The sequence below is a fragment of the Homo sapiens genome, chromosome 6 (assembly GCF_000001405.40).
Source record: "Homo sapiens chromosome 6, GRCh38.p14 Primary Assembly".
Classification (NCBI taxonomy): Eukaryota; Metazoa; Chordata; class Mammalia; order Primates; family Hominidae; genus Homo; species Homo sapiens.
In genome coordinates, this window is record NC_000006.12 from 106,794,702 (window position 1) to 106,822,609 (window position 27,908).

Genomic DNA, 27,908 nt, shown 5'->3' on the forward strand with positions numbered 1-27,908 from the left:
CAAGGCTGGGAGAGAAGTCCCAACTCTGAGGCTTTGGCAGCTCAGGGAAGCAGAACACCTCTCTGGGACTCCACGAATGTTCTTGGCGACTGAGCTGTGAACATTGCCCAAGAATACATTTTTGAAAGTCATAAATAATACAACTTCTCGAGTTAAACACACAGAGAAAAAATGACTGAAGATATGTCTGTTATAGATAAACATGCTGCCACATCTTTTTGACAGCTTATGGCATTGGAGATTCTTCTAATAAAAAATTCAATTTGAAAGGCCACCAGCAAAATCACTGTTCCCTCTAAAAGACAATTCTAACTACATTTCTACAAGACAAGCGTAGGCTTCTTAGGATTCTCTGGACAGGAGGATGGAACAAACCTGAAATATTTGGGGTTGTTTGTTTGTTTTTGAGATGGAGTCTTGCTCTGTCGCCCGGGCTGGAGTGCAGTGGCACGATCTCCGCTCACTGTAACCTCCGCCTCCCAGGTTCAAGCGACTCTCCTGCCTCAGCCTCCCAAGTAGCTGGGATTACAGGCATGTGCCACCATGCCTGGCTAATTTTTGTATTTTTGGTAGAGACAGGGTTTTGCCATGTTGGCCAGGCTGGTCTCAAACTCCTGACCTCAGGTGATCCACCTGCCTCAGCCTCCCAAAGTGCTGGGATTGCAGGCATGAGCCACCATGCCGAGCCCCCAAACCTGAAATATTTTGAAGCTCATCTAATAGATATTAGCTAGCCAATACAATTAGAATATATTCCACATGTCCTCATTATTTAAACAAACTCCAATTGGAAAATTTCTCATTCATGGTAATAAAACAGTTCCTCTTGGATTCATCAGGTTAATTAAGTGACCCCTGAGGTGAACTGTGTCTAGACTTATTGTAGACCCATCCAAATTACTGTGATCTACTGCAGGATAGCCAAATCCTGATGCCATGAAATATAATATTGTACCTCTGAATGGGGCGAAGTAGAAAGCCTCAGAAAAGCGGGGACACAGGAATATTTCTGGGGTATAACCTGTATAAAGGCAGGATCCAAATAGTTCAGTCTCAAGATGGTAGTCAAGGAATACAGCCTGACACAAGAAGGAATTTCAAAGACTCAAATTATTTATTTTGAGATTCTGGGAAACCACAAAGAGAAGGCAAACATAGAGCATACAGCAACACTTATGAATTTCCCTTTCTTCTGCACCCATTTCACTCATATGTGCTGCATTTGTTCTGAGGTGTCCCTCATCACAATTTCCCGAAGGCTTTCTCTAGGCTGAGCTCCGCACTTGCATTTTCCTCTCTTTACTTCCTCTCTTATGTCTATCCTTTGACTATAGTCGTTGATATTGCCTCTCTCCCCGTGATTAAAAAGGGAATAAAAACACGTCCTCTTTGGGAGAGGAAAGAAGGGAGGAAATTTGGCAGACCATTATAGCGTGAGTTTTTGGTTATCTGGGAAAGGGAGGAAGCCAGCAGACATTCCCATCTTTATTCCATTTAGCTCCCTCTCTGCCAGACAGTGATAAGGGAACTTAATTTACACCAAAACCAGGGATAGGGAGCCCAATTCAGAGGCTCAAATGAATATACGGCCACACATTCCTAAAAAAACAAAAATAAAAAAAACAACAACTCACCTTTCAACCATCTTTTGTTGGTTGACGTATGATTTCCTTATCGTAAGAGAGTAAGTATGAGTTATTAAACAGGACATTTTTTGTTATTTTTTGTTAGTTTGTCTTTTTGGGACAGAGTTTCACTCTTGTTGCCCGGGCTGGAGTGCAATGGCGCAATCTTGGCTCACTGCAACCTCCACCTCCCGGCGGAGGGTTCAAGCGATTCTCCTGCCTCAGCCTCCAGAGTAGCTAGGATTACAGGCGCCCAGCACCATGGCGCACTAATTTTTTTTGTATTTTTAGTAGAGACGGGGTTTCACCATGTTGACCAGGCTAGTCTCGAACTCCTGACCTCAGATGATCCACCCGCATTGGCCTCCCAAAGTGCTGGGATTACAGGCGTGAGCCACTGTGCCCAGCAACAGCACATTTTAAAGTTAAGATGAGGCAACATAAAACTTGAATTAATAAATGTGACAAACAAAAATAACAATAAAATAATAAATTATAAATCCCAACATGAATACAATTATATTTCTTAATTTTGACAGTGTGAACAATAGACTTAGTGTTAGATCATTTGCAGCACGGTCAGATAGAAGAATTTTTTCCCTCATGTAAAGACTACACCCTAACTCAGGCATGGGAAAACATCATCTCATATAAGCCTCATAAACCCCAACTAAGCCAGCTCTTAGGGCCACACCAGTGTTCCAACATCTGTAAAGCCAGTTTTCATCTAAGTTTAATTTTAAAAAGCCAAAATGTTGAGTAAAATATTGTTCTTGTACATCCACTCTGGGGTGGGTTTTTAGTGTCCTGACCTAGAATGTAGCTGGGATGGAGCAGGACTGCTTGAGGAAAGAGGGTTGCTGGGCTCACCTTTTCAGTTTGGCAGAAGCATTGAAACTGGTGGGGGAAAGAGGCCTGGTAAGGAACTGGGGTTTGGAGCCCCTTCAAATTACTCAAAGCCAAAAAGGCGCACAGAGAGAGAAGAGCAAGAACCTAACAGCCTGAAGTGGCATTTCTGGCATGTGTTCAGGCAGCTTTTTTCGTCTGTGTTTCCATAAAGACCTCTCTTGCATAAAGCTCATCCAGGCCTCTGTGAACTGGTTGAGCCAGGGCAAGATGCACAGTCTCTGGGACTGTGAGTGTGAGTAAACAAGATTCTCCCCTTACCCCACAAGCCTACCCCTGCCCCAAAACAATTCAGCACAGAGGTATACTTCAAAGGCCCACAGCTCTCCCCAGCAAACAGACAAAGCTCTGCAGCCTTCAGATAGAGACTTCATCCTCAAGCCAGACAAAGACTTCATCCTGGTGGGAAACTGATGAGAAGAAGAAATGGCAATAGTAATGTGTATACACATACGCACACACAGGTTACAGGTACAGGACTCTAAAATTGCAGTGTGAAGTCTCCTGATACAAGCCACATTCTCTGGTCATCTGTTTATCCAAACAGAGTTCTACACTAGGGTCAAGAGAGTCTTTTTAAAAATTATAGGGTACTGTGCTTTGCTAAATGGCATCATGGAATGAAGACAACACTGGTGATGCTACTAATTATGCAGCTTGAGAAAGCTGCTCACCTGTGCAGAGCTTGAGTTTCCTCATATGAAAATTGGAGATGATAAAACCTACCTTGTAGGATTTTTATGAATATTAAATAAAATAACATGTAAAAACAACTGGCCAGAAATGGTAACAAGCAAGAGTAGAATTTGGGAAAAGGGTTTGCTTGATTCTAACAGATGTTCTCCAAAGGTGCAAAATGAGGTTGTTGAGAAAGGTGGTGTGTGGCTGGTTGATGCGAGGCTTTGAGTCCGCCTGCCTGTGAAGTTTGATTTTGAAATCTCAGCCTCTTAGAAGCCTCTGTAAGGGGATGGGTGGTCACAAAGCCACATCTTATAGTGTGGTCTGCAAGGATGCCTATAAAACACTCAAAGCTTATTGAAAATTCCCCTGCAGATCTCCTCGTCTGAATTCCTCCCCACCCCACACCAATGAGCCACTACACATTCAAGGAAAACAAAGAGACAACTCTAAAGCCCTAAGGAGCGGCCCAGCTAGGCCAGTAGTTTTCCCCAGAGGGAAAATGTGCTTCCAGACACACTCAGCTGAAACTGACTAGAAACTGGACTGTGTTGACTGAACAAGTTGAGAAAGATTTGCCTCTGGCTTTAATAAATTACGACATCAGCTTTTGGCATTTAAAATATTCAACTGTTTACCTTAAAAAGTCTCTTGCGGCCGGACACCGTGGCTCATGCCCGTAATCCCAGCACTTTGGGAGCCCGAAGTGAGTGGATCACCTGAGTTCAGGAGTTTGAGACCAGCCAACATAGTGAAACCCCATCTCTACTAAAAATACAAAAATTAGCCAGGTGTGGTGGCGGGCGCCTGTAATCCCAGCTATTTGGGAAGCTGAGACAGGAGAATCACTTAAACCCGGGAGACAGAGGTTGCGGTGAGCCGAGATTGCGCCGCTGCACTCCAGCCTGGCTGACAAGAGCGAAACTCCAAAAAAAAAAAAAAAAAGTCTCTTGACATTAATTTCTTTTCTGGTTTGAATAAAATAGCCTTTTTCCAGGTTGTATTAATTTGCAATAAAAGTGTTCTGACCCTGTATTTTTCTTGTCTGTAAAATGGACTGAGACGCTATTAAGGTTCCTTTGGGCTCCGAGAACTATAGGACTTGGGGACAAACAAACCAGGTGGCTGATTCTACTGACGGCTTCACTGTCACCTGTGGTTTCTGCTCCTTCAAAGGAGTGAGGATTAGCTGCTATTTAGACACAGGAATGCAGGTCTTTGATTATTTGGGTGTCTGTTTTCACAGGCGTTGGACCTGACCCTGCAGCCTGGGAACCCTGACCGGACCTCTCCTCTGATTTGAAAGTACGCAGGCCTGGCTGACACCAGACACCACAGAGGTGTGGCCCCCACCAGACACAGCTACCATTAAACCCCATCTTGTTGCTCACTGGGTGTGTGGCCTTGGTTAACCACAAACCCGCCTAGATGCCTCACTGGCAGGCCAGCTGAAAGCCATCATTTCTTATCCAGCCCCTTAGGGACAGGATTAGAAGAGTTACCTAAAATGTAAGATGTTGCATTCCTAAAGCCCTGGCTGTAACCCAGGGGGACTCCAGGCAAGACGGCTGATCCCAGCGACTTCACTCCTAAATGAAACCAAAGTCACCTAGTATCCTTGAGTGGCATGACATGGAGAATGGCAAGTGAAACCAGAGCCTTCTTGGCAGTTAACTGAGGTGCTCTGAGAAGGTGGCAAAGGAAGAAAGCCTTGGCTTTATTTAAAGGGGCAATTAAAGTTCAGGAAGGAAAGGAAGTGTTGTTATTCTTAATTTTTCACACTCTCCCTGACCCCAACCACCATTCCACAAATAGCCCAGGATTTCATTTGCTGCCAGCAGAAGTATATAGATATCTCTGGAAAGCTATGAATGATTTACAAGCTGGGTCAATAATTAAGTTATCCGGGGATGTGTAGACATAACCAGTCTTAACTCTTTAAATCTCAGAAGACTTGCTCCCCAGCCTGGCAAGAGAATAATGGTTAGAAACCAAACAAAATCTCCATACAGATTTGAAATGCTTTGAGCTAGTAAAATGTTTCAATCCATTATTTGGGAAAGGCTGATGAGCAGATTGTGTTTCTCATCTTGGTCTGTGATTATTTCTAGGACAAAAGAAACATATTAAGTTGGTACAGAAGTAATTGCCATCTTTGCCATTGCTCTTAATGCAAAAACCACATTTACTTTTGCACCAACCTAATAGTTTGTGGATTCAAGTACCCAAACTCTCAGCTTCGATTCCAGCTCACTCCGGAAGGCCAGGTGATTTTGAGAGGGGCCACTCCCTGGAACTGGCCGTCCTCCCTCAAAGACCTCCTCGTGAAGATTTTAATCAATGATGGATCCAGATCCTTCCAAAGGGAAAAAGCATCATTCACGTGGGGGAGGGGAGTTTGTTTGAGAGCAGCCCCTTTGTTGGCTGATCTGTGGGAGGAACAGCCCAGTGGTCTATGCTAGTTAAGGGGTCAAAGCTAAAACTCCTGAAAGAGTTAGCAAGATGAGACTGCATATGTGCAAACTGGAGAAATTCTGAGAAGAAAGTCGCCCAGGGCTTAAGAAGGGCTTTCATGTGGGGCAGGGCTGGACCTGAGCCTGGAAGGACTGGCGGGTGAGGAGCAGGACACCTCAGAGACAGGCATCATTCCGGGCACAAACCTGTGCTGAGTCCTACCTTCCATGTCCAGACATGTACCTGTGCTGCAGGTACATGAGCCAGAGAGGATTGAGCCTCTTATGGGCCGAATTATGTCTCCTCAAAATTCATATGTTGAAGCCCAAATCACCCAGTACCTCAGAATGTGACTGCATTTGGAGATAAGGCCTTTAAAGAGGCAGTGAAATTAAAATGAGGCCTTTAGTGTCGGCCCTAACCCAATCTAACTGGTGTGATCATAAGAGGAGATTTGGAGACACAAAGAGACACCAGAGAAAAGGCCACCTGCAAGCCAAAGAGAGAGACCTCAGGAGAAGCCAAACGTGCTTCTTGAGCCTTTGATCTGAGACTACCCACCTCCAGAACTGCAAGAAAATTAATTTCTACTGTTAAAGCCCCCTGGTCTGTGGAATTTGTCATGGTGGCCTTAAGCAGATTCATACAGCGTCCTTGCCCTCCGAGGGCTCCAGTGTGTTGAGGAGGCCAGACAATAAACAAAATCCTATGAAACCCATACATTCATGACAGCTGTGCAGGGCACTAGGAAGGACAAGGAAAAGGTGCTTTGAGAGTATCTGAAGAACAAAACCGGGGTGAGGAAACACCCCTGGGCCTGGAATTCCCGCCTCAAGGAGAGGAGAGCAGGGAAGGCAGGCTGACCCAAGCCACCACTGAAGAGATGGGAAGTGAATGACAATGGGAACACCAGATTGCAGAGCGCCTGGAAACAAGCAGGAGTATTCTTGCTGGATCTCCAAGGCAATGTGAAGCTATTTTAGATTTCCAAGTGGAGGAACGGCCCAAGGAGAGCAATGCTTTAGGGAGCTCTTTCTTACAAGCATGTGCAGAAGGAGCGCAGGCCTCAAGGCACAGGAAGAGGGGGTGCGGGTGAGAGGGCTGGATCGAGATGCCAGCAAGCGGGCAAAGCGGGGGAGGAGCTGCATGCAAAAAGCATTTTGAAGAAGAAAATGACAGGTCTTGGTGATTGATGGGAAACTCTTTTAAAATTGTCTTGTCCCTGAAGCAGCCCTTCAAGGCTGTGGCTGACGTATAGGAAGGCCCCTGGTAGACCCCTCTCCAGAGTGAGGTGGTTGCCATGGCACCCAGATGCGAGCAAGGGGGATAAAGACCAAATGGCACATTCATTTCATACCCTTCCTTTACCATCCCTTTGTGGGATACCAGTGAGACCCACAAAGCTTCCCGAATCTGCACGATGAATATCATCAGAAGGCATTTGATTACAGCTCTGAGACTCAGTAAGAAAGTAACACCTGGGTAACGTCCATAAAGCAATCTTGCAGATTTCTCTGTGAGGGGCTTCTAACTTCTGGCTGCCTTTCAGCTATTCACAGCTGGGGGGAAGTGGAGGGGACAAGGGGACGTGGGTAAAAGAACTTCTCATACTAGCCTGTGAAGGGATGTTAATGTCTGACTGACAGGAGTAGGACAGTGGTTGCTTGATCCAGCCCTCCTGCCTTCTGCTGGGAAGGAAACAAAAATATGGAAAACCCGGGGGGCTAAAGTTCCAGAGCGCCTGCTGTCAGCTGAAGCCCATGGCCTCACAGAAGCAACCAGATAGAGGAAGCTGTGAATAGATCCTGCCCCGTCAGGTGCTGGATGAAGCTTGTTTCCAGTGTGAAGGAAAGGGGACCTGGTCAGGAAACCATGGTTTCATGAGCCAGACTTTACAACTGCAGGCAGCTGCCAAGGCCAGAGCTCACGGTGAGTGGCAGACAGAAGAATACCAGCCCTTCATCTCATAGTGCTCCGCCAGGCTCATTTTCCATCCATCAGCAGCCGAGGGTTAACGTGGAGATCAGATTAGAGGCACTGCTCTCTAAGAGACCTACATTTGAAGCACTAGGCAAAAACTGATATAAGCACATGTGGAAATAAAACACAGGGTAAAAGAGTCCAGCAAAAAATCCTGGCATGGCAGCTGACTCTGACTGCACAGGACACAGTACACTGACACTCTCTGAGGAGAAGAGTATCTTTAAAGAGTAGACTATTTAAGTAAATTATTTGTGCATGGCTGGTAGAATTCATTATTGTATTATTATTTTTTTTTTAAGACAGGGTCTTGCTCTATTGCCCAGGCTGGAGTGCAGTGGTGCAATCACGGCTCACTGCAGCCTTGACTTCCCAGGCTCAAGCAATCCTCTCACCTCAGCCTCCCGAGTAACTGGGACAAGTGTGTACCACCACACCCTCCTAATTTTTGGTATTTTTTGTAGAGACAGGGTTTCATCATGTTGCCCACTCGAGCCCATCTCAAACTCCTGGGCTCAAGTGATCCACCCACCTTAGCCTCCCAAAGTGCTGGGATTATAGACATAAGCCACCACACCTGGCGCCATTATATTATTATTTTTTTAAAGTCTCTTTTAGAACTGTAAGACTTCAAGATGCTCCATTTGCTCTGGATTGAAAAGCTGATAAATGTTATTTTGTAATCAAAATGTGGTCTGAGGACCAGCTGCATTGGCACCTCCCAGGAGCCTGATACAATTTCAGAATCTCAGACCCAAATCCAGACCTGCTGAATCAGAATCTGCACTTTAACGAGATCCCTGGAAGCTCTGCACAAACATTAAAGTCTAAAAAGCACTGCCTTGGAGCAGGTTAGGCAAAAAGAAGAGCTGAGAAGGGTTGGGTAGCTAAGATCTGGCTTAGCAATACTATAGCCAGATCAGTGCCCACTTCTACTCACTAGGCAATGGCCCCTGTGGCCACAGTGAGAGGGTTTAGATAGTAATGCAGGGTGCAGAGGAAGAGGGCCAGGCTTCTGCTGCATGACCGAAAGAACCCAGGTGCCCCTCCCACTTAGGTGCTCTTATACATTCTCAGCCTTTATCTTTACAAGCCCAAGGCCCATATGAGTCTAGATTATGCAAAATAAGTCTAAGCAATGTAAAAAAAAAAAATGATTTTTTTTTTCCAATTAGCAAAGGGTAATGAGCACTTTCCAGAAATTGTGCTTGGTAGGATATGTCACATAAGTAAATTTTCTTTTGTTTATTTTTCCAAAAAGGCTGCACCAGAACTATCCAAGATAATTACTTTGCCTTCAGTCTGGTTGAGCAGCAGCTGTTTATGGTACCTATGACTTCCTCTGTAAGATCAGTGAGATGTAATACAACAACAAAGGGATTTTGAGTAGACAAACCTGTGCTTGAATCCTGGTTTGGATTATTTCCTGAAATTCAGATAGTAAACTCTAAAATGCTGAATGAATTTACAATTAATTATTCATTATTGAGTGGAAATATAGCAGCATGGCTTAGCCTGGCTTGACTAATAGCACCATTATTATGTCAAGGAGACTAAAGCTTTGAGAGATATAGCTCAATGTCATACAACTAGAAAGTGGCAGAGCCCAGACTGGTAGGTGCCAGGTCTATTGGCCTCAAGAGCCCAGAAGACAGTTAAACCTGATACCATTGCTTCCATGGGCCCAAGGCCTTACTCCCTTCCAGTGCCTTCAACTCTGCTGCATAACTGATGTTCTCACAGTTTAAGACAGAATTGCAAGTGAGCCAGATTTACAAAGGCAGTCATCTTACTACCTTCATTTATCTTACTACCCTTCTGACTTCAAAAGTCATTGCTAATATTCTAAATCGTGGCCTGCTCAGTCTTTGCTCTCCTTTGCTTCTAAATAATTTTGTTGTTTCATCCTCAAAAAATCTAACTCTTCATGTCAACAAGAAAAATCTCAAAATGAGATGGTAAAACAAACATTCCATTGACTTTCAGACTATTAAATAACTAACCCTCTCCCTCAGTCTCCCTATTCCCCATCCCCCTCTCCCAGCTTTTTTCAAGTGCTCCCTCCCAGGCTGGAGAATAATTATACTCTCTGGTGAAACAGAGAAGGTAGAAACTGGAAGACTGAATAGATTTGAGTTAATACAACTTTCTCTCAAACAAAAGCATTTAAGAGTTCAGCAAAGGTTAGGCACGCAGAGAATGCTGCATTTCCTGGTATCTTCTGATTAGCTTTTAAGATAATTAATGGAGATGGGAGTATTATTGCTTGAACAACTACCGCATTCCTGGAGAGAAACAGGAAGGACAGAGCCGAGAATCCTGAGCATTAACCCCAGTGGCCAATCAGCTTCTTTTGCATTTGTAAATTCCCTCTGTGGCTCCATGGTGACCCCACGGTTAGGTGACAGGCAAGCTCCTAGCACTTTGCATGCATTACCTTAACTATACGGCACACTTCTTTTCCGGGAGAGAAATAGCCATACCCATTTTAGGAAGGAGGAAATTGCTGCACACACACAGCCCTTAAAACAATCTAATGTAGCAGCTGCTGTAATTATGCCCATTTTGTGGATGAGGAAACTATGGTCTACAGAGACTTAGCAACTTTTCCAATAACACACAATAAATATTGGGGCTAGAATTAAACCCAAATCTGTCTGACTCCAGAGCTATCACAAGAGGTAACATTTCTGCCTTATCCTACTTCCTTGTTTTATATCTACAGTTCCATAACTGCAGGGCAGCAGAGAGATGCAAACATCATCACAACAAAAATGTCATATATGTCCCCAGTAACCACTAGGCTTCTTTTTGACCATCTGGCTGGCCCAACGGCCAAGCAGTCACCACCAGATGATTCAACCAACTCTGGCTTCTTTCTCTTTCCTCAGACTGTGAACTCCTTCTGAGAAATGATCATATTTTTCCATTTTTATATCCCTCTCAATGCTGCCACATTATAAGAGAGAAAAATTGGCACTTGCTGAATATATATTATAAGCTATGTCAGCTATGTAGCACAGAGACTGTCACTTACCTCTTCAACATTCCAACAGGCATCAGTAATCAATCATAGTGCTCTTCCCTAGTTAAGGCCAGAAAGAGCCTCAGCATCCTTCTCAACATAATACTTTAGTCAGCTACTATCAACCAATCAGAGTTGGTACACTAGGTGAAACCTATTTACTCTTCCTTATCTAAATTATTGACTGGATACCTTCTCATGGCCCTTATGATATTGAGAGGTGACAGCGTGCTGGCAGTCCTCAGAGCCCTCGCTTGCTCTCAGCGCCTCCTCTCCCTGGGTTCCCACTTTGGCGGCACTTGAGGAGCCCTTTGGCCCGCCGCTGCACTGTGGGAGCCCCTTTCTGGGCCGGCCAAGGCCAGAGCCGGCTCCCTCAGCTTGCAGGGAGGTGTGGAGGGAGAGGCGCCAGCGGGAACTGGGGCAGCACGCAGTTCTTGCGGGCCAGCTGGAGTTCTGGGTGGGCATGGGCTTGGTGGACCCTGCACTCGGAGCGGCCGGCCTGCACCGGGCAGTGAGGCGCTTAGCACCCGGGCCAACGGCTGCTGAGGGTGTACTGGGTCCCCCAGCAGTGCCAGCCCACCGGCGCTGTGCTCGATTTCTCACCGGGCCTTAGCTGCCTTCCCGCGGGGCAGGCGTAGGGACTGCAGCCCGCCATGCCTGAGCCTTCCCCCCACCTCCGCGGGTTCCTGTGCAGCCCGAGCCTCCCCCACGAATGACGCCCCCTGCTCCATGGCACCCAGTCCCATCAACTGCCCACGGGCTGAGGAGTGCGAGTGCATGGCGCAGGACTGGCAGGCAGCTCCACCTGCAGCCCCGGTGCGGGACCCACTGGGTGAAGCCAGCTGGACTCCTGAGTCTGGTGGGGAGGTGGAGAGTCTTTATGTCTAGCTCAGGGATTGTAAACACACCAATCAGCACCCTGTGTCTAGCTCAGGGTTTGTGAGTGCACCAGTTGACACTCTGTATCTAGCTGCTCTGGTGGGGCCTTAGAGAACCTTTATGTCTAGCTCAAGGATTGTAAATACACCAATCAGCACTCTGTGTCTAGCTCAAGGTTTGTAAACGCACCAATCAGCACCCTGTCAAAACAGACCACTCGGCTCTACCAATCAGCAGGATGTGGGTGGGACCAGATAAGAGAATAAAAGCAGGCTGCCTGAGCCAGCAGTGGCAACCCGCTGGGGTCCCCTTCCACGCTGTGGAAGCTTTGTTCTTTTGCTCTTTGCAATAAATCTTGCTACTGCTCACTCTTTGGGTCCACACTGCTTTTATGAGCTGTAACACTCACCACAAAGGTCTGCAGCTTCACTCCTGAAGCCAGCGAGACAACGAGCCCACCGGGAGGAGTGAACAACTCCAGACATGCCGCCTTAAGAGCTGTAACGCTCACCACGAAGGTCTGCAGCTTCACTCCTGAGCCAGCGAGACCACGAACCCACCACAAGGAAGAAACTCTGAACACATCCGAATATCAGAAGGAACAAACTCCAGACGCGCCACCTTAAGAGCTGTAACGCTCACCGCAAGGGTCCACAGCTTCATTCTTGAAGTTAGTGAGACCAAGAACCCACCAATTCCGGACACAATATGAGCATTCCTACCTAAGTTTCAGTTATAACATTACCCAGAGAAAGCAAAAGTCAGTGTAACGTAAAAATATTCACTAAAGGAGTTGACCACTTTTCTATTTCATCTCTACTCTGCCACCCCTTCCTCCCTTTTAACAGTAGCCATTACCCCTTCAGTAATAATGAGTTATGCTCTTTGTCAGCTGTTTTGCATAGTATACATGCACAAATGCAAATAATGGCAAATCTTGGGAAATACAAATTTTTTATAAAGTAGGTGAAAGTGTTATTGGCAAATTGCTCAAATCAGACACTGGAAGCCATTGACAAATGAGAATCTGGGAAAGTTATACCGGTTAACAACTGGAGATGAGAAAATTCCAGGGTGATGACAAGATATGTGCTTCAAAAGACATCATTTGAATATCAAAGGATTGAGCTGAATCCTTGGGAAAACTAATAAAGCTCTGGAATATTTTTGCAAAGAAATGACCTTTTTATGAATGTACTGTGGAAATCAAACACACAGTTAAAGAATGTACCATACCCCTATACGAATTTGCCAAAAAATAATTATTACAGGAGAAACAAAACTCCAATAGTCAACATTTTTGGTTTATTTAAAGAATCAGAGCAAGTTGTGACTGTAACATATTTTAGTTTAATAGTTGGGGAAAGAAGTTATTTCCAAATGAGACAGAGGAGAGATTGGGCTTAGCTTCAGCTCACTCCCACTAGAGGATTGCCACTGATCACAAAACCCACACCACTACCTCTCTGATGCCATAATGTTCAACCATGCCTTTTACTTAAAGAATTCCATGTCCAAGCACAGTGGCTAACACCTGTAATCCAAGCACCTTGGGAGTCCAAGGCAGGAGGATTGCTTGAACCCAGGAGTTCGAGACCAGCCTAGGTAATAGAGTGAGACTCTGTCTCTACAAATAGAAACATTAGCTGGTCATGGTGGTGCACACCTGAGGTCCCAGCTACTCAGGAGGGAAGGGAGGATTGCTTGAGCCCAGGAGGTTGAAGCTCCAGTGAGCTATGTTCACACCACTGCCCTCCAGCCTGGGTGACAGAGCAAGACCCTGTCTCAAAAAGAAAAAAAAATATCCAGAAACTGGACTTAGAAGATAACCAAGGCTGTGGAGTGTCCCATCTTGGGAAGGAATGCTGAACAATTGATTTACAGCCTTGTTGCCACCAGCCAAACCACCAGGTGGCCCACTACTGAAGATAATCATCACAAACAGATAATGCTGCCCTGCATACCCCACCCCTCATGTGCTTTGCCCAGCTCAGCGCACGTACCCTACCCCTGATGTCAATTCCTGCACTTTGCCTAATAAAAAAGCCCGATTGGCTCTTTTCAGGGGAGTCAGTCAGGGAATCTCTCTCTCTCTCTCTCTCTCTCACTGCCTCCTTTATGTTCAGGCATAAATTTCTATTGCATTAAGAGCCCAAGAACCCATAATGGATAACATATTCTTTGGGGGCTCATCCAGGATCACAGGATGTATGGAGCCTTTCTCATCCCAAGGGGAAGACTTGTGAGCTGAGAGAACTGCTGGACAAGATCCCTTCGCAGCTGACAAGCAGCTGCCTGAACTACTGACTCAGTGTCACCATGAGTCTTTCTCCGGCCTCCTGGACTTCCTCACCTTTCCATCAGGAAATGCTTTCCTCCCTTCCCTTTTCCCCCTGCTCTCTCTTTTTCTCCTTTCCCCTTCTATCTTTTCTGTCACCCAGTTGCTTTGCCTCTCTTCTCCAAATCCTTACTGCTTTTGGCTGCCTGAATAACATCCTTGCAGGATGGATTAAAATGGTTGACTATTGGGTCTGATCAATCCTATGGGCATTGGAATGGATCACACCCCTCTTCTGGCCTAAGTTGGTTTGGTTTTGAGTACCATAAAAAAAAAATGTCCCTCTCTCTTTTCCTCTCTCTCTCTCCTCTCTCTGGCACCCTGGCCCTCTCTATTCCAAACCCATCATTACTTCACTTCCCTTTTTCACTTCTGGTGGGGAAGGGAGGCCTGTAATGTTTTAGGGAGTCTGTCTGTCTGAATGTGTAGTCCTGTCAGTTTGGGGAGACTGTCTCAGACAGGGTGCTGAGGATGCCCAGCTGGCCTTCAGGAAGGCACCAAGGACACCTGAATGTGACCATCAATATTGGTTTCTTATTGTACAATAAGAAAAGTTTAGAGCTCAAATGGTTAATCTGCAACTATAATGTTAAGCAGAGTAATTTGAGAGGATTTTGCCTATGTTTCCATAATGGAAAAGATTTTTTGTGTGTTTTTTTTCCTTTTTTTTTGGTAACATGGCTTGGCCCCCACAGCTATGTCACAGTGAACAGGGTCACCACAGTGACTCAGTGAAAGGAAACCCAAACTCCTGGCATGCTGGCAAAAGAATTTCTTACCAGCCAGGCTTCTGGCCTGTCTCTCTGCACAAACCAGTTAAATGAATGAGGAAAATTATTGTTTGTCTCCTCTGTAAAGTTTTGATTAATGGGAAAAAGGATTTGTCTGTGTCATTCTGTCATGGAGAGGGGTACTACAGGATAGAACACAGGCCTAGGACTTCTATAAACCCACTATTTGAGGCTGCCCAGCAGACTGGTCAGTTATAAGCTTTACTGCAGGTCTCTGAAACAAAAACTGGATGAGGTTTCCGACTTGTCTTGTTTCATGTCCTTGGGAACATGATATGACCATGTGAGGTATCCTTGGTCTTTGCCATCCAGAGAGTGAGAATTTCTGGGGTCATGTCAGGTGGCTGGTCATAAAAGATCAGGATTCTGAGACTCATCAGCACACTGTTGGTCCAAATGTGTCAAGCCATAGGGTGAGTATTGCCTTAGGGGCTTTTTCATCTTCTTCCATCTTATGCCCATTTCTGAGAGTGAATTCTTGGGGGTCATGGAGATGCCTCCTCTATCCTCTCTCTAGAAATACCTCTTGCTTATATGATTTTTAAAACCTAAAAAATTATCATTGGGCTTTAAAAGATTTTGGAATGAGTCATTATAGGAACTAAGAACACCATTAAAAGAAATGGGACTTTAGAGATATCTTATTCTCAACAATTTTTTTAAAAGTTTAAATTTTAAAAAGAGGCATACTAATGCCATGGTTAGCCTTAAAAATTATCTTGAACTTCAAAGACTGAAGAAACATTAGCACACAAATATGAGAAAGAACTAACACAAGGACTCTGACAACTCAAAAAGCCAGAGTGCCTTTTTTCCTCCAAATGACTACACCACCTTTCCAGCAAGGGTCTAACTGGGCTGAAATAGCTGAAATGACAGAAATAGAATTCAGAATTTGGAAAGGAATGAAGATCACTTAGATAAAATAGTACCTTGAAACCCAATCCAAGGAAGCTAAGAATCACAATAAAATGATACAGGAGCTGACAGAAAAAATAGCTGGTATGGAAAAGAATGTAACCAACCTGATACAGCTGAAAAACATACAAGAATTTCATAATGCAATCAGAAGTATTAATAGCAGAATAGACCAAGCAGTGGTAAAAATCTCAGAGCTTGAAGGCAGGCCTTCTGAAATAAGACAGTCAGACTGAATAGAAAAAAAAAAAGAAAAAATGAAAAGGAACAAATAAAACCTCTAAGAAATATAGAATTATGTAAAGAGACCAAATATACAACACACTGGTGTCCCTGAAAGAGATGGGGAGAGTATAAGCAGCTTAGAAAACATATTTCAGGATATCATCAATGAGAACTTCCCCAATTTAGCTAGAGAGGCCAGCATTCAAATTCAGAAAATGCAAAGAACCCCAGTAAAACATTTCACAAGAAGAACATTGCCAAGACACATAATCATCAGATTCTCCAAGGTCAAAATGAAAGAAAAAATATTAAAGGCAGCTAGAGAGAAAGATTAGGTCACCTACAAAGGAAAGCCCATCAGACTAGCAGTGAACCTTTCAGCAGAAACCAGAAGAGATTGGAGGTCAATATGCAACATTCTTAAAAAAAAATTCCAACCCCAAATTTTATATCTAGCCAAACTAAACTTCAGAAGCAAAGGAGAATTAAGATCCTTTTCAGATAAGCAAATGCTGAGGGAATTTGTTACCACCAGACCTGCCTTACAAGAGTTCATGAAGGAAGCTAAATATGGAAATGAAAGACTTATCAGCCACTACAAAAATACACTTGAGTACACAGACCAGTGACACTATAAAGCTATCACACAAATAAGTTTGCATAATAACCAGCTAACATCATGATGACAGTCTCAAATCCACACATATCAATACTAACCTTGGATATAAACGGGCTAATTAAAAGGTACAATGCCCCAGTTAAAAGGCAGAGTGGCAAGCTGGATAAAGAACCAAGACCCATTGGTATGCTGTCTTCAAGAGACCCATCTCACATGCAATGATACACATAGGCTCAAAATAATGGAATGGAGTAAAATCTACCAAGTAAATGGAAAACAGAAAAAAGCAGGAGTTGCAATCCTAATTTTAGACAAAGCAGACTAAACCAGCAAAAATTAAAAAGACAAAGAGGGGCATTAATAATGGTAAAGGGTTAAATTCAACAAAGAAATCTAACTGTCCTAAATACATACGCATCCAACACAGGAGCACCAGATTCATAAAGCAAGTTCTTAAAGACCTTCAAAAAGACTTAGACTTCCACACAATAATAGTGAGATAATTTAATACCCCACGGACAATATTAGATCATTGAGACAGAAAATTAACAAAGATATTCAGGACCTGAGCTCAGCACTGGATCTGTATTAGTCCGTTTTCACACTGCTGATAAAGACATACCTGAGATTGGGAAGAAAAAGAGGTTTAATTGGACTTAGAGTTCCACATGGCTGGGGAGGCCTCAGAATCATGGTGGGAGGCAAAAGGTACTTCTTACATGGTGGCAGCAAGAGAAAATGAGGAGGAAGCAAAAGTGGAAACCCCTGATAAACCCATAAGATCTCATGAGACTTATTTACTATCACAAGAATAGCATGGGAAAGACCTGCCCCCATGATTCAATTACCTCCCGCTGGGTCCCTCCCACAACACGTGGGAATTCTGGGAGATACAATTCAAGTTGAGATTTGGGTGGGAAAACAGCCAAACCATATCAGGATCAAAGGAACCTGATAGACATCTACAGAAGTCTCCACCCAAAAGCAACAGAAGATAAATTCTTCTCATCGTTGCATGGCACATATGCTAAAATAAATCACATAAATGGACACAAAACACTCCTCAGCAAAGGCAAAAGTACTGAAATCATAACAACCACTCTGTCAGACCACAGAGCAATCAAATTAGAAATCAAGACTAAGAAATTCACTCAAAACCATACAATTACATATAAATTGAATAACTTGTTCCTGAATGACTTTGGGGGTAAATAATGAAATTGAGGCAGAAATCAAGAAGTTTCTTGAAACTAATGAGAACAAACACACAACATGCCAGAATCTCTGGGACACAGCTAAGACAGTGTTAGGAGAGAAATTTATAGCACTAAATGTTCACATCAAAAAGTTACAAAGATCTCAATTTAACAACCTAACATCACAACTAGAAGAACTAGAGAACCAAGAACAAACAAATCCCAAAGCTAGCAGAAGACAATAAATAATCAAAATCAGAGCTGAACTGAAGGAGACAGAGACACACACACAAAAAAACATTTGAAAGATTGACAAATCCAGGTTTTTTGAAAAAGTTAATAAAATAGACCACTAGCTAGACTAATAAAGAAGAAAATAGAGAAGATCCAAATAAACACAATTAGAAGTGACAAAGAGAATATTACCACTGACCCCACAGAAGTGCAAATAACCATCAGAGAATATTACGAACACCTCTATGCACATAAACTAGAAAATCTAGAGGAAGTAGATAAATTCTTAGGCTCATACACCCTCCCAACAGTGAGGCAGGAAGAAACTGAATCCCTAAACAGACCAATAATGAGCTCCAAAATTGAGGCAGTAATAAATAGCCTACCAACCAAAAAAAGTCCAGGAGCAGATGGATTCACAGCTGAATTCTACCAGATGTACAAAGAAGAGTTGGTATCATTCCTATTGATACTATTCCAAAAAATTGAAGAGGGAGGACTCCTCCCTAACTCATTCTATGAGACCAGCATTATCCTGAAACCAAAACCTGGCAGAGACACAACAAAAAAGGAAAACATCAGGCCAATATCCTTGGTAAACATTGATGCAAAAATCCTCAACAAAATACTGGCAAATCAAATCCAGCAGCACATCAAAAAGCTTATCCACCACAATCAAGTAGGCTTTATCTCTGGGATGCAAGGTTGGTTCAACATACACAAATCAATAAATGTGATTCATCACATAAACAGAAATAAAGACAAAAAAACACATGATTATCTCAATGGATGCAGAAAAGGCTTTCAATAAAATTCAACACCTCTTTATATTAAAAACTCTCAATAAACTAGGTATTGAAGGAACATACCTCAAAATAATAAGAGCCATCTATGACAAACCTACAGCCAGCATCACACTAAATGGGCAAAAGCTGCAAACATTCCCCTTGAAAACTGGTTCAAGACAAGGATGCCCTCTCTCACCACTCCTATTCATCATAGTATTGGAAGTTCTGGCCAGGGCAATCAGGCAAGAGAAAGAAGTAAAGGGCATCCAAGTAGGAAGAAAGGAAGTCAAACTATCCCTGTTTGTAGGCGACATGATCCTACATCTGGAAAACCCCATAGTGTTGGCCAAAAAGCTCCTTTGATTAACAACTTCAGCAAAGTCTCAGGATACAAAAATCAATGTACAAAAATCACTAGCATTCCAATACACCACCACCAACAGTCAAGCTGAGTCAAATCAAGAACACAATTCCATTCACAATTTTTACAAAAAGAATAAAATAATTAGGAATGTTGCTAACCAGGGAGGTGAAAGATCTCTAAAAGAACTGTAAAACACTGCTCAAAGAAATCAGAGATGACACAAACAAATGGAAAAACATTCCATGCTCATGGATAGGAAGAATCAATATGGGTAAAATGGCCACACTGCCCAAAGCAATTTATAGAGTCAATGGAATTCCTATCAAACTACCAATGACATTCTTCACAGAATAGAAAAAACTATTTTAAAATTCATATGGAACTGGGCTGGGCACTGTGGCTCTCACCCGTAATCCCAGCAATTTGGGAGACCAAGGTAGGCAGATCTCTTGAGCTCAGGAGTTTGAGACCAGCATGGGCAACATGGTGAAACTCTGTCTCTACAAAAAAAAAAAACACAAAAATTAGCCAGGCATGGTGGCATGTGCCTCTAGTCCCAGCTACTGGGGAGGCTAAGGTGGGAGGCTCACTTGAGACCAGGTGCTCAAGGCTGCAGTGAGCCAAGATTGCACCACTGTACTCCAGCCTGGGCAATAGAGTGAGACCCTGTCTCAAAATAAATAAATAAATAAAAATTCATATGGAACCACAAAAAAAGCCCAAATAACTAAGGCAATCCTAAGCAAAAAGAACAAAGCTGGAGACATCATGCTACCAGACTTCAAACTATACTACAGGTCTACAGTAACCAAAACAGCATGGTTCTTGTAGAAACATAGACGCATAAACCAATGGAACAGAATAGAGAGCCCAGAAATAAGGCCGCACACCTACAACTATCTGATCTTCAATAAAGTTGACAAAAACAGGCAATGGAAAAAGGACTCCCTATTCAATAAATGGTGCTGGGATAACTGGCTAGCCAAATGCAGAAGAATGAAACTGGACCCCTTCCTTATACCATATACAAAAAATTAAAGAATATATTAATTCTTTTTCCCTCCATGGACAGCTTCTGATTCCCTGTCTTGAATATTCTTTTCTCCGAGCTACCTTAGGGGCAATTCTAAATCTTGTAACAACACTTGCCATCTCTTTGGAGACAACTTGTATAACCATGGTTAAGTCATAACCTTAGTTAAGGCTTATTGCTTTCACTTGGAAAATACCTTCGGGGGTGTGGGGGAAGGCTTAAAAGGCAATGGTGTCTGTCCAGCTAAAGTCTGGTAATAAAAGATTTTAAAAGATTTTTTTAAAGAGCTCTGTATATAAGTCAGCGTAATTCTGAAAGGACTTTATGGTTTTTTTCTCTTCTTGGATCTTATTTTGTGGAAAAAAAAGTATTTTTTCTTCTCAGTTCACTGAATTGTTTCTCTATTTACTTCTTTCTGACTTCTTGCCACCTTTGATGCCCACAAGAGAGGACCTCAGGCAATTTCTGATGGCCTAAGACTCCTTGGGAGAAACAGGAGGTGCCACAGACCCCATTGTGGGAGAAAGGTCCCTTTTTCTTGTGGAACCCCAAGAATTATATATGGACAGATCCCTCTTAAAATCTCAGACTTAGCTCTGTTTTGCATTGCATTACCTGACCTTTTTTACTTTTGGAGGCATCAAAATTACTTTGCATTGTGAGAAAACTTTTGCCTTGATGTGTAATAGCTACGTAGGAAATACACTTTCAGGGATGGCTAATGACGATTGCTTAAAGTGAACGGTTATTACTAGAGGGTGATACTCCTTTCTTTGCACATTTAGATAAGAAAAGCATGCTCTTGGACACCAAGAAGGTATGGTATGGGGAATGGGCTGACTACAGAGTGGGCTGATTGGCACTGGATTGCCCACCAGCCTGGGAGAAAAGTCCTTGCAATGAGCTACACCATGGAAGTGTGTCCGGAATTGGTGGGTTCTTGGTCTCACTGACTTCAAGAATGAAGCCGCGGACCCTCGCGGTGAGTGTTACAGCTCTTAAGGTGGCGCGTCTGGAGTTGTTTGTTCCATCCCGGTGGGCTCGTGGTCTTGCTGGGCTCAGGAGTGAAGCTGCAGATCTTCGCGGTGAGTGTTACAGCTCATAAAAGCAGCGTGGGCCCAAAGAGTGAGCAGTAGCAACTTTTATTGCAAAGACCGAAAAAACAAAGCTTCCACAGTGTGGAAGGGGACCCGGGTTGCCAATGCTGGCTTGGACAGCCTGCTTTTATTCTCTTATCTGGCCCCACCCACATCCTGCTGATTGGTAGAGCTGAGTGGCCTGTTTTGTCAGGGCGCTGATTGGTGCATTTACAATCCCTGAGCTAGATACAAAGGTTCTCCACCTCCCCATCAGATTAGTTGGATACAGAGTTTCCACACACAGTTTCTCCAGGGCCCCACCAGAGCAGCTAGATACAGAGTGTCAATTGGTGCATTCACAAACCTTGAGCTAAACACAGGGTGCTGACTGGTGTATTTACAAACCTTGAGCTAGATACAGAGTGCCGACTGGTGTATTTACAATCCCTGAGCTAGACATAAAGACTCTCCACGTCCTCACCAGAGCAGCTAGATACAGAGTGTCGATTTGTGCACTCACAAACCTTGAGCTAAACACAGGGTGCTGATTGGTGTATTTACAATCCGTGAGCTAGATATAAAGACTCTCCAGGTCCCCACCAGAGCAACTAGATACAGAGTGTCAATTTGTGCACTCACAAACCTTGAGCTAAACACAGGGTGCTGATTGGTGTATTTACAATCCGTGAGCTAGATATAAAGACTCTCCACGTCCTCACCAGAGCAGCTAGATACAGAGTGTCAATTTGTGCACTCACAAACCTTGAGCTAAACACAGGGTGCTGATTGGTGTATTTACAATCCCTGAGCTAGATATAAAGACTCTCCACGTCCCCACCAGACTCAGGAGCCCAGCTGGCTTCACCTAGTGGATCCCGCACCAGGGCTGCAGGTGGAGCTGCTTGCCAGTCCTGCGCCGTGCGCTCGCATTCCTCAGCCCTTGGGTGGTCGATGGGACTGGGCGCCGTGGAGCAGGGGGTGGTGCTCGTCGGGGAGGCTCGGGCCGCACAGGAGCCCATGGAGTGGGTGGGAGGCTCAGGCATGGCGGGCTGCAGGTCCCCAGCCCTGCCCCGCGGGAAGGCAGCTAAGGCCCGGCGAGAAATCGAGCTCAGCGCCGGTGGGCCAGCACTGCTGGGGGACTCAGTACACCCTCCGCAGCCACTGGCCCGGGTGCTAAGTCCCCCATTGCCCGGGGCCAGCAGGGCTGGCTGGCTGCTCCGAGTGCGGGGCCCACCAAGCCCACGCCCACCCGGAACTCCAGCTGGCCCGCAAGCGCTGCACGCAGTCCCGGTTCCCGCTCGTGCCTCTCCCTCCACACCTCCCTGCAAGCTGACGGAGTGGGCTCCAGCCTTGGCCAGCCCAGAAAAGGGCTCCCGCAGTGCAGTGGGGGGGGGCTGAAGGGTTCCTCAAATGCCACCAAAGTGGGAGCCCAGGCAGGGGAGGTGCCGAGAGCAAGCGAGGACTCTGAGGACTGCCAGCATGCTGTCAGCTCTCAGAAGCACTGCACTGTCTCCCTCTTGCAGTGTTTCCCTCTTTTCAGGGACCCAGGATTCGAGGTAAAACTGGGATTTTTAATCCCTGGGGATCTGTTTTACCTTCCAGCTGTGCTTGCTTATTAGGCCCTAGAAATTGACTTTCTTGCCCTTTTTCCTTAAAAGGCTCCACCCTAAAGCCAATAATCCAATTAAAAAATTTTCATCTTGGGCTGGGTGAGGTGGCTCACCTGTAATCCCAGCACTTTGGGAGGGCAAGGTGGGCGGATCACCAGGTCAAGGGATCGAGACCATCCTGGCCAACATGGTGAAACCCCATCTATACTAAAAATACAAAAATTAGCTGGGCATGGTGGTGCATGCCTGTAGTCCCAGCTATTCGGGAGGCTGAGGCAGGAGAATTGCTTGAACCCAGGAGGTGGAGGTTGCAGAAGGAACTCTCCATATGTAAGTGTAGTTGCTTTTCCTGGCCATCTTAACTAAACTTTTACTCACAGCATTTTTCCTTGGTTGGAGAAAATATGAATTCTCCACCTTGTTTCACCTCAGAGTTGTCCCTTTAAAAATCCAAGTTTAGAGTTGCCAAGCTGACAACTGTTTAGGGCAGGGAACAGGTAATCAAGAGACTGGTGATCTCAAACGAAAAAGAGAAGCTTAAAAACTGGCAAATGATAGAAGGAGAAGATCTGTCTGTCTGTGTATTTATATGTGTTGTGCGTGTGAAGTTTACATAAAAGCTCTAATTAATTGGCTTAAAGCAAAATAAGTACTCAAATAAAATATTTTGCCAAAAAAATTAAAAACTTTAATGTCTTTTAGTTCACTTGATGTTAGTAATCTTTGGTAAAGACAGTTTTAACGATTATTAATAAGATAAAATAGGCTGGGCTCGATGGCTCACTCCTGTAATCCCAGCACTTTGGGAGGCCAAGTCGGGTGGATCACCTGAGGTCAGGAGTTCAAGACCAGCCTGGCCAACATGGTGAAATCCTATCTCTACTAAAAATACAAAAAGTTAGCCGGGCATGGTGGCAGGCACCTGTAATCCCAGCTACTCGGGAGGCTGAGGCAGGAGAACCTCTTGAACCCGGGAGCCAGAGGTTGCAGTGAGCCGAGATAGCACCATTGCACTCCAGCCTGGGCAACAGGAGTGAAATTCCATCTCAAAATAAATAAATAAATATAAAATAAAATAAAAATGTCTTCAAAATCTAGGTATTCGTTCTGCAATGTCTGCTTCTATTAGGGTAGAAAAGACAAAAAAGAAAGAAAGAAAAGAAAACCAAAATCTAGGCATTTGGTCTAAATTAGAGCGATCAGATACTGTCTTTACTAGATGCTTTAAAGTCATGAACTGCTTCTCTGACTTTCGACAATTGTTCAACTTGCCTGCTTTAGAGCCATTTGATTCTAAGGAAGGCCTGGGGACATGTGGAGTTAGACATGTCCCCTAGCTATGCTAGAAAGAGTCAGACATTATCTGTGGTTCTGTCCTGTGTCCTAGACTCTGCACCTGATACATAATTACAATTATGTATTGTAATTGTAATTTAGATAATTGTAATTATCTAAAAATAAAAATCATGTGTTTTTGGTAAAAAGGCATGGAAATATATATGGTTGCTTTTAAGAGAAAGTAATTTTGTCTAATTTAGAGGGTTTAAAGATTGTTTTAGGTTAAAAGAGAATAAAACTGAAGGTTTAAAAAGTTGTAAAAGATTTGTAAAATATTAATCTTGTAAGGAAATTTCTATGTGTGAACAAATTGGCCAATTTGAAGGGGATTATTTAGTTTTTCTGTGGACTGAACATTAAGACAAAAAGCACACTGATGCTGGGCCAGAATCTGGGCCCCTGTGTCTAAATAACAGTGTTTTTGTGGAGCATTAATCTGCTCTCTAATTAAAAAAAAAAAATTATAGGGCTGGGTGCAATGGCTCACACCTGTAATCTCAATACTTTGGGAAGCCGAAGCTGGAGGATCACTTGGGTCCAGGAGTTTGAGACCAGCCTGGGTAGGGAGACCCCGTCTCTACAAAAAACTTAAAAATTAGCTGGGTGTGGTGGTGCGCATCTGTAGTCTCAGCCACTCAGAGGCTGAGGCTGGAGAATCACTTGAGCCCAGGAGGTCAAGGCTGCAGTGAGCCTTGATTGGATCAGTGCACTTCAGCCTGGACAACAGAGCAAGACCCTGTCTCAAAAAGAAAAAAGATAACTTTACAACGCTTTACAATTATAATTATTCTTGCTGTACTTTATGCAAATAATCAGCCCAAGTATATTAAGACTAAGTCTTATTTTGCAAATAAGTGTGTCCTACTATGATTTGTCTTTAATAAAAATGAGGACTGGGGAAAGAAAAATTATATTTCAGAAAGAAGCTAGAGTACTCATGTTTTTTGATTCCAGTCTTGTCTGTTGTTTTCGAAGGTTTTCAAATATTATTTTCTACAAGTTGGATTGAATCTTAAATTCTTTCCAGGTTACAAGTCTCCAAGGTAATGTTTTCAAATTTTTCTTCTATTTTTCTGACTTCAGCATAATATGATTGCTACTATCTTTTTCCCGAGGTCCAATGAGCTTAAGCTTATTTCTGTTGGTATAGCTGAGAAGAATGTGTGCAAGTACCACTACCTTCCTTCTCTGTAGCTAAAGATGCTTTGAGTCTAACATCTGGATAGATTATGCTCACCATTAATGTTTGTTTTTCTTCTGTTACCATAGAAATACTTATTAAAAGTCTGTTTGCCTTATATTTCAAACAACAGGAGACTGGTTTTCCAGTCTATTCACTTAAATTCCAAATGGCATCTGATCTCTTCTTATAAGCATTATTAAACTGGGCTTTAGCGTTTTATTAATTATCACTGGATAGGATTTGATTTTTAAATAATTATTTCTTATATTCAACAGGGATGCAGACAGTTATAAAAGTTTGTGTCTTCCAGGCTTCAACATTCCATGTCAAGCTGATAGTTGTGCAAGGATTCCAAACCCTCCCATCCCAGCAAGAGCCAAGCCCCTATAAAACATTAAATCAAAAGATTTTTGTGGCCTCTAGGGTTGGGCGAGGACGACAACCCTGTTCAGCAGAAAGTAGCTCCAGAAGACTAGACTGCTGCCCTTTTTCCTTAAGAAGAAGGAGGATAAAATGTCTCAGTGTGGCATGAGGCAGAGGAGAGGCAGAACTTGGCTTCAGCTCACCCCCCACAGAGCATTCCTGCTGACCACAAACCCCACACCACTACATCACTGCCACCATAATGTTTAACCATGCCTTTTACTTAAAGAATTCCAGGAACTGGCCTTAGAAGATAACCATGGTTGTGAAGTGTCCCATCTCTGGAAGAAATGCTGAACAACTGATTTACAGCTTTGTTGCCACTGGCCAGACCACCAGGTGGTCCATTACTCAAGATAATCATCACAACCAGATAATGCTGCTCTGCAAACTCCACCCCTCATGTGCTTTGCCCAGCTCAGCCCACACATACCCTACCCCTGATGTCAATTCCTGCATAGTGCCTAATTAAAAAGCCATACTGGCTCTTTCTGGGGAGTCAGTCAAGGAATCTTCTCTCTCTCTCTCTCTTTCTCTCTGTCTTGCTGCCTCCCTTATGCCCAGGCATAAGCTCCAGTGAAGCTTTGTCTGGGAATCTCTTTCAGCCTCATGTCAATTTCTGTTAACTGGAGAGCCCAAGAACACATGGTGGGTAACACAAACACAACATGAAACTAAAGTTTTATTTTCCAAGACAAAGCCCCAATGGAACCTTTCCTCGCTATTTCCTGAGACATGTTGTCTGCCTTTTAAGAGGATACATGTGAGTAGCTGACCCCCAGAACTACTCTTTCCCCACATAATGAGGGCCTCCCATGTCTCATTTGTTTTTAGAGCTCCATGACCAGCTATGTCATTTGGGCTTGATTTTATAGGTGGAGAAACTGAGGCCCAGAGGACACATATGGGGAGTGCATGACCCAGTGTTTTGCCCAGGTCAACTTGACTCCCACAGTCAAGCGCGGCCCCGTTAGCTGATTCCCAGCGGACTGATAACCGTCTCTGGAATGAAGCAGGGAGTGACTGAATCAGGAAACCCATCAACAGTGCTACCTACCCGTCTACTTGGAAAAGAAGAGGAATTCCCACAAGCAGCTCTGGGAGACCTCTTAATGCCCAGGGACACCTACATCTCTCTGTCAATCTCTTCTCCAGGTCAGCTCCAACTCTCAGGGTCTTTTCAGGGGCCTGACCCTCCTGCTTCGGCCCCCCAGTGAATGAGGCCTCTCCTGGCCTGCCCCCTTCTCCCCGCCTCCCCAGAATATCCCTTTCCACTCTTTCAAATGAACCTAATCTGTGTCTGCTCCTGCCCAACCGCATCTTCTGCCAGGCAGTTGGTGCCTGAAACCAGCTCATGAGAGTTTCTAGCCCTGGAGAGAAGTGCGCAGCACATTGGCTGCACCCATAGCTCTGGCTTTTGTGATCTGACCCAGAAAAGCCAACAGAGGGAGGCAAGTCAGGCCAGAAGGGGTGGCTCTCATCTGCCAAAAGTGGGGAGGGGAGGTTGGGGGGCAGATTCGCCCAAGGCAGATCTTCACTTCTGCTTTCATATGGAATTTAAAATTAATTCAGGCCAGGCACGGTGGCTCAAACCTATAATCCCAGCACTTTGGGAGGCAGAGGCAGGTGGATCACAAGGTCAGGAGTTCAAGACCAGCCTGGCCAACATGGTGAAACCCCATCTCTACTCAAAATACAAAAATTAGCCGGGCGTGCTAGCATGCGCCTATAATCCCAGCTACTCAGGAGGCTGAGGCAGGAGAATGGCTTGAACCCAGGAGGAGGAGGTTGTGGTGAGCCAACATTGCACCACTGTACTCCAGCCTGGGTGATAGAACAAGACTCCATCTCAAAAAAAAAAAAAAATTAATTCAGGAGTTTTGTTGTTGTTGTTTAAGCAGAAAATAAACTCAGTCTGCCTGGCGTTGTGGCTCATGCCTATAATCCCAGCTCTCAGGGAGGCAGAGGCAGGAGGGTAGCTTGAGCCCAGGAGTTTGAGACCTGCCTGGGCAATATAGCGAGACTCCGTTCTCCACAAAAAGGAAAAAAAAAAGAAGATAAACTCAGTCCAAACCTTTTTACAGATGAACTGACTGAAATTCACAGAATCAGTGATTTGCTGAGGTCACACAGCAAGTTGGAGCCAAGACATGGTCCCAGAGACCCTGAGGATCAGTCAATTTAACATTTTTAGTCATGCCCCTGACCTGAATGTATCCACA

The 27,908-nt window shown here is 44.2% G+C and overlaps 2 annotated features.

Moving 5' to 3' along the window:
- Positions 4,333-4,627: an enhancer, noted in NCBI's record as "tiled region #10433; K562 Activating non-DNase unmatched - State 9:DNaseU". NCBI's record gives its function as "activates a minimal TATA promoter and a strong SV40 promoter by Sharpr-MPRA in K562 cells {active_cell/tissue: K562}" and the evidence as "EXISTENCE:reporter gene assay evidence [ECO:0000049][PMID:27701403]".
- Positions 9,574-10,334: an enhancer, noted in NCBI's record as "OCT4-NANOG hESC enhancer chr6:107252150-107252910 (GRCh37/hg19 assembly coordinates)". NCBI's record gives its function as "activates a minimal SCP1, AML or CMV promoter by ChIP-STARR-seq in naive and primed H9 embryonic stem cells {active_cell/tissue: H9 hESC(naive and primed)}" and the evidence as "EXISTENCE:reporter gene assay evidence [ECO:0000049][PMID:30033119]".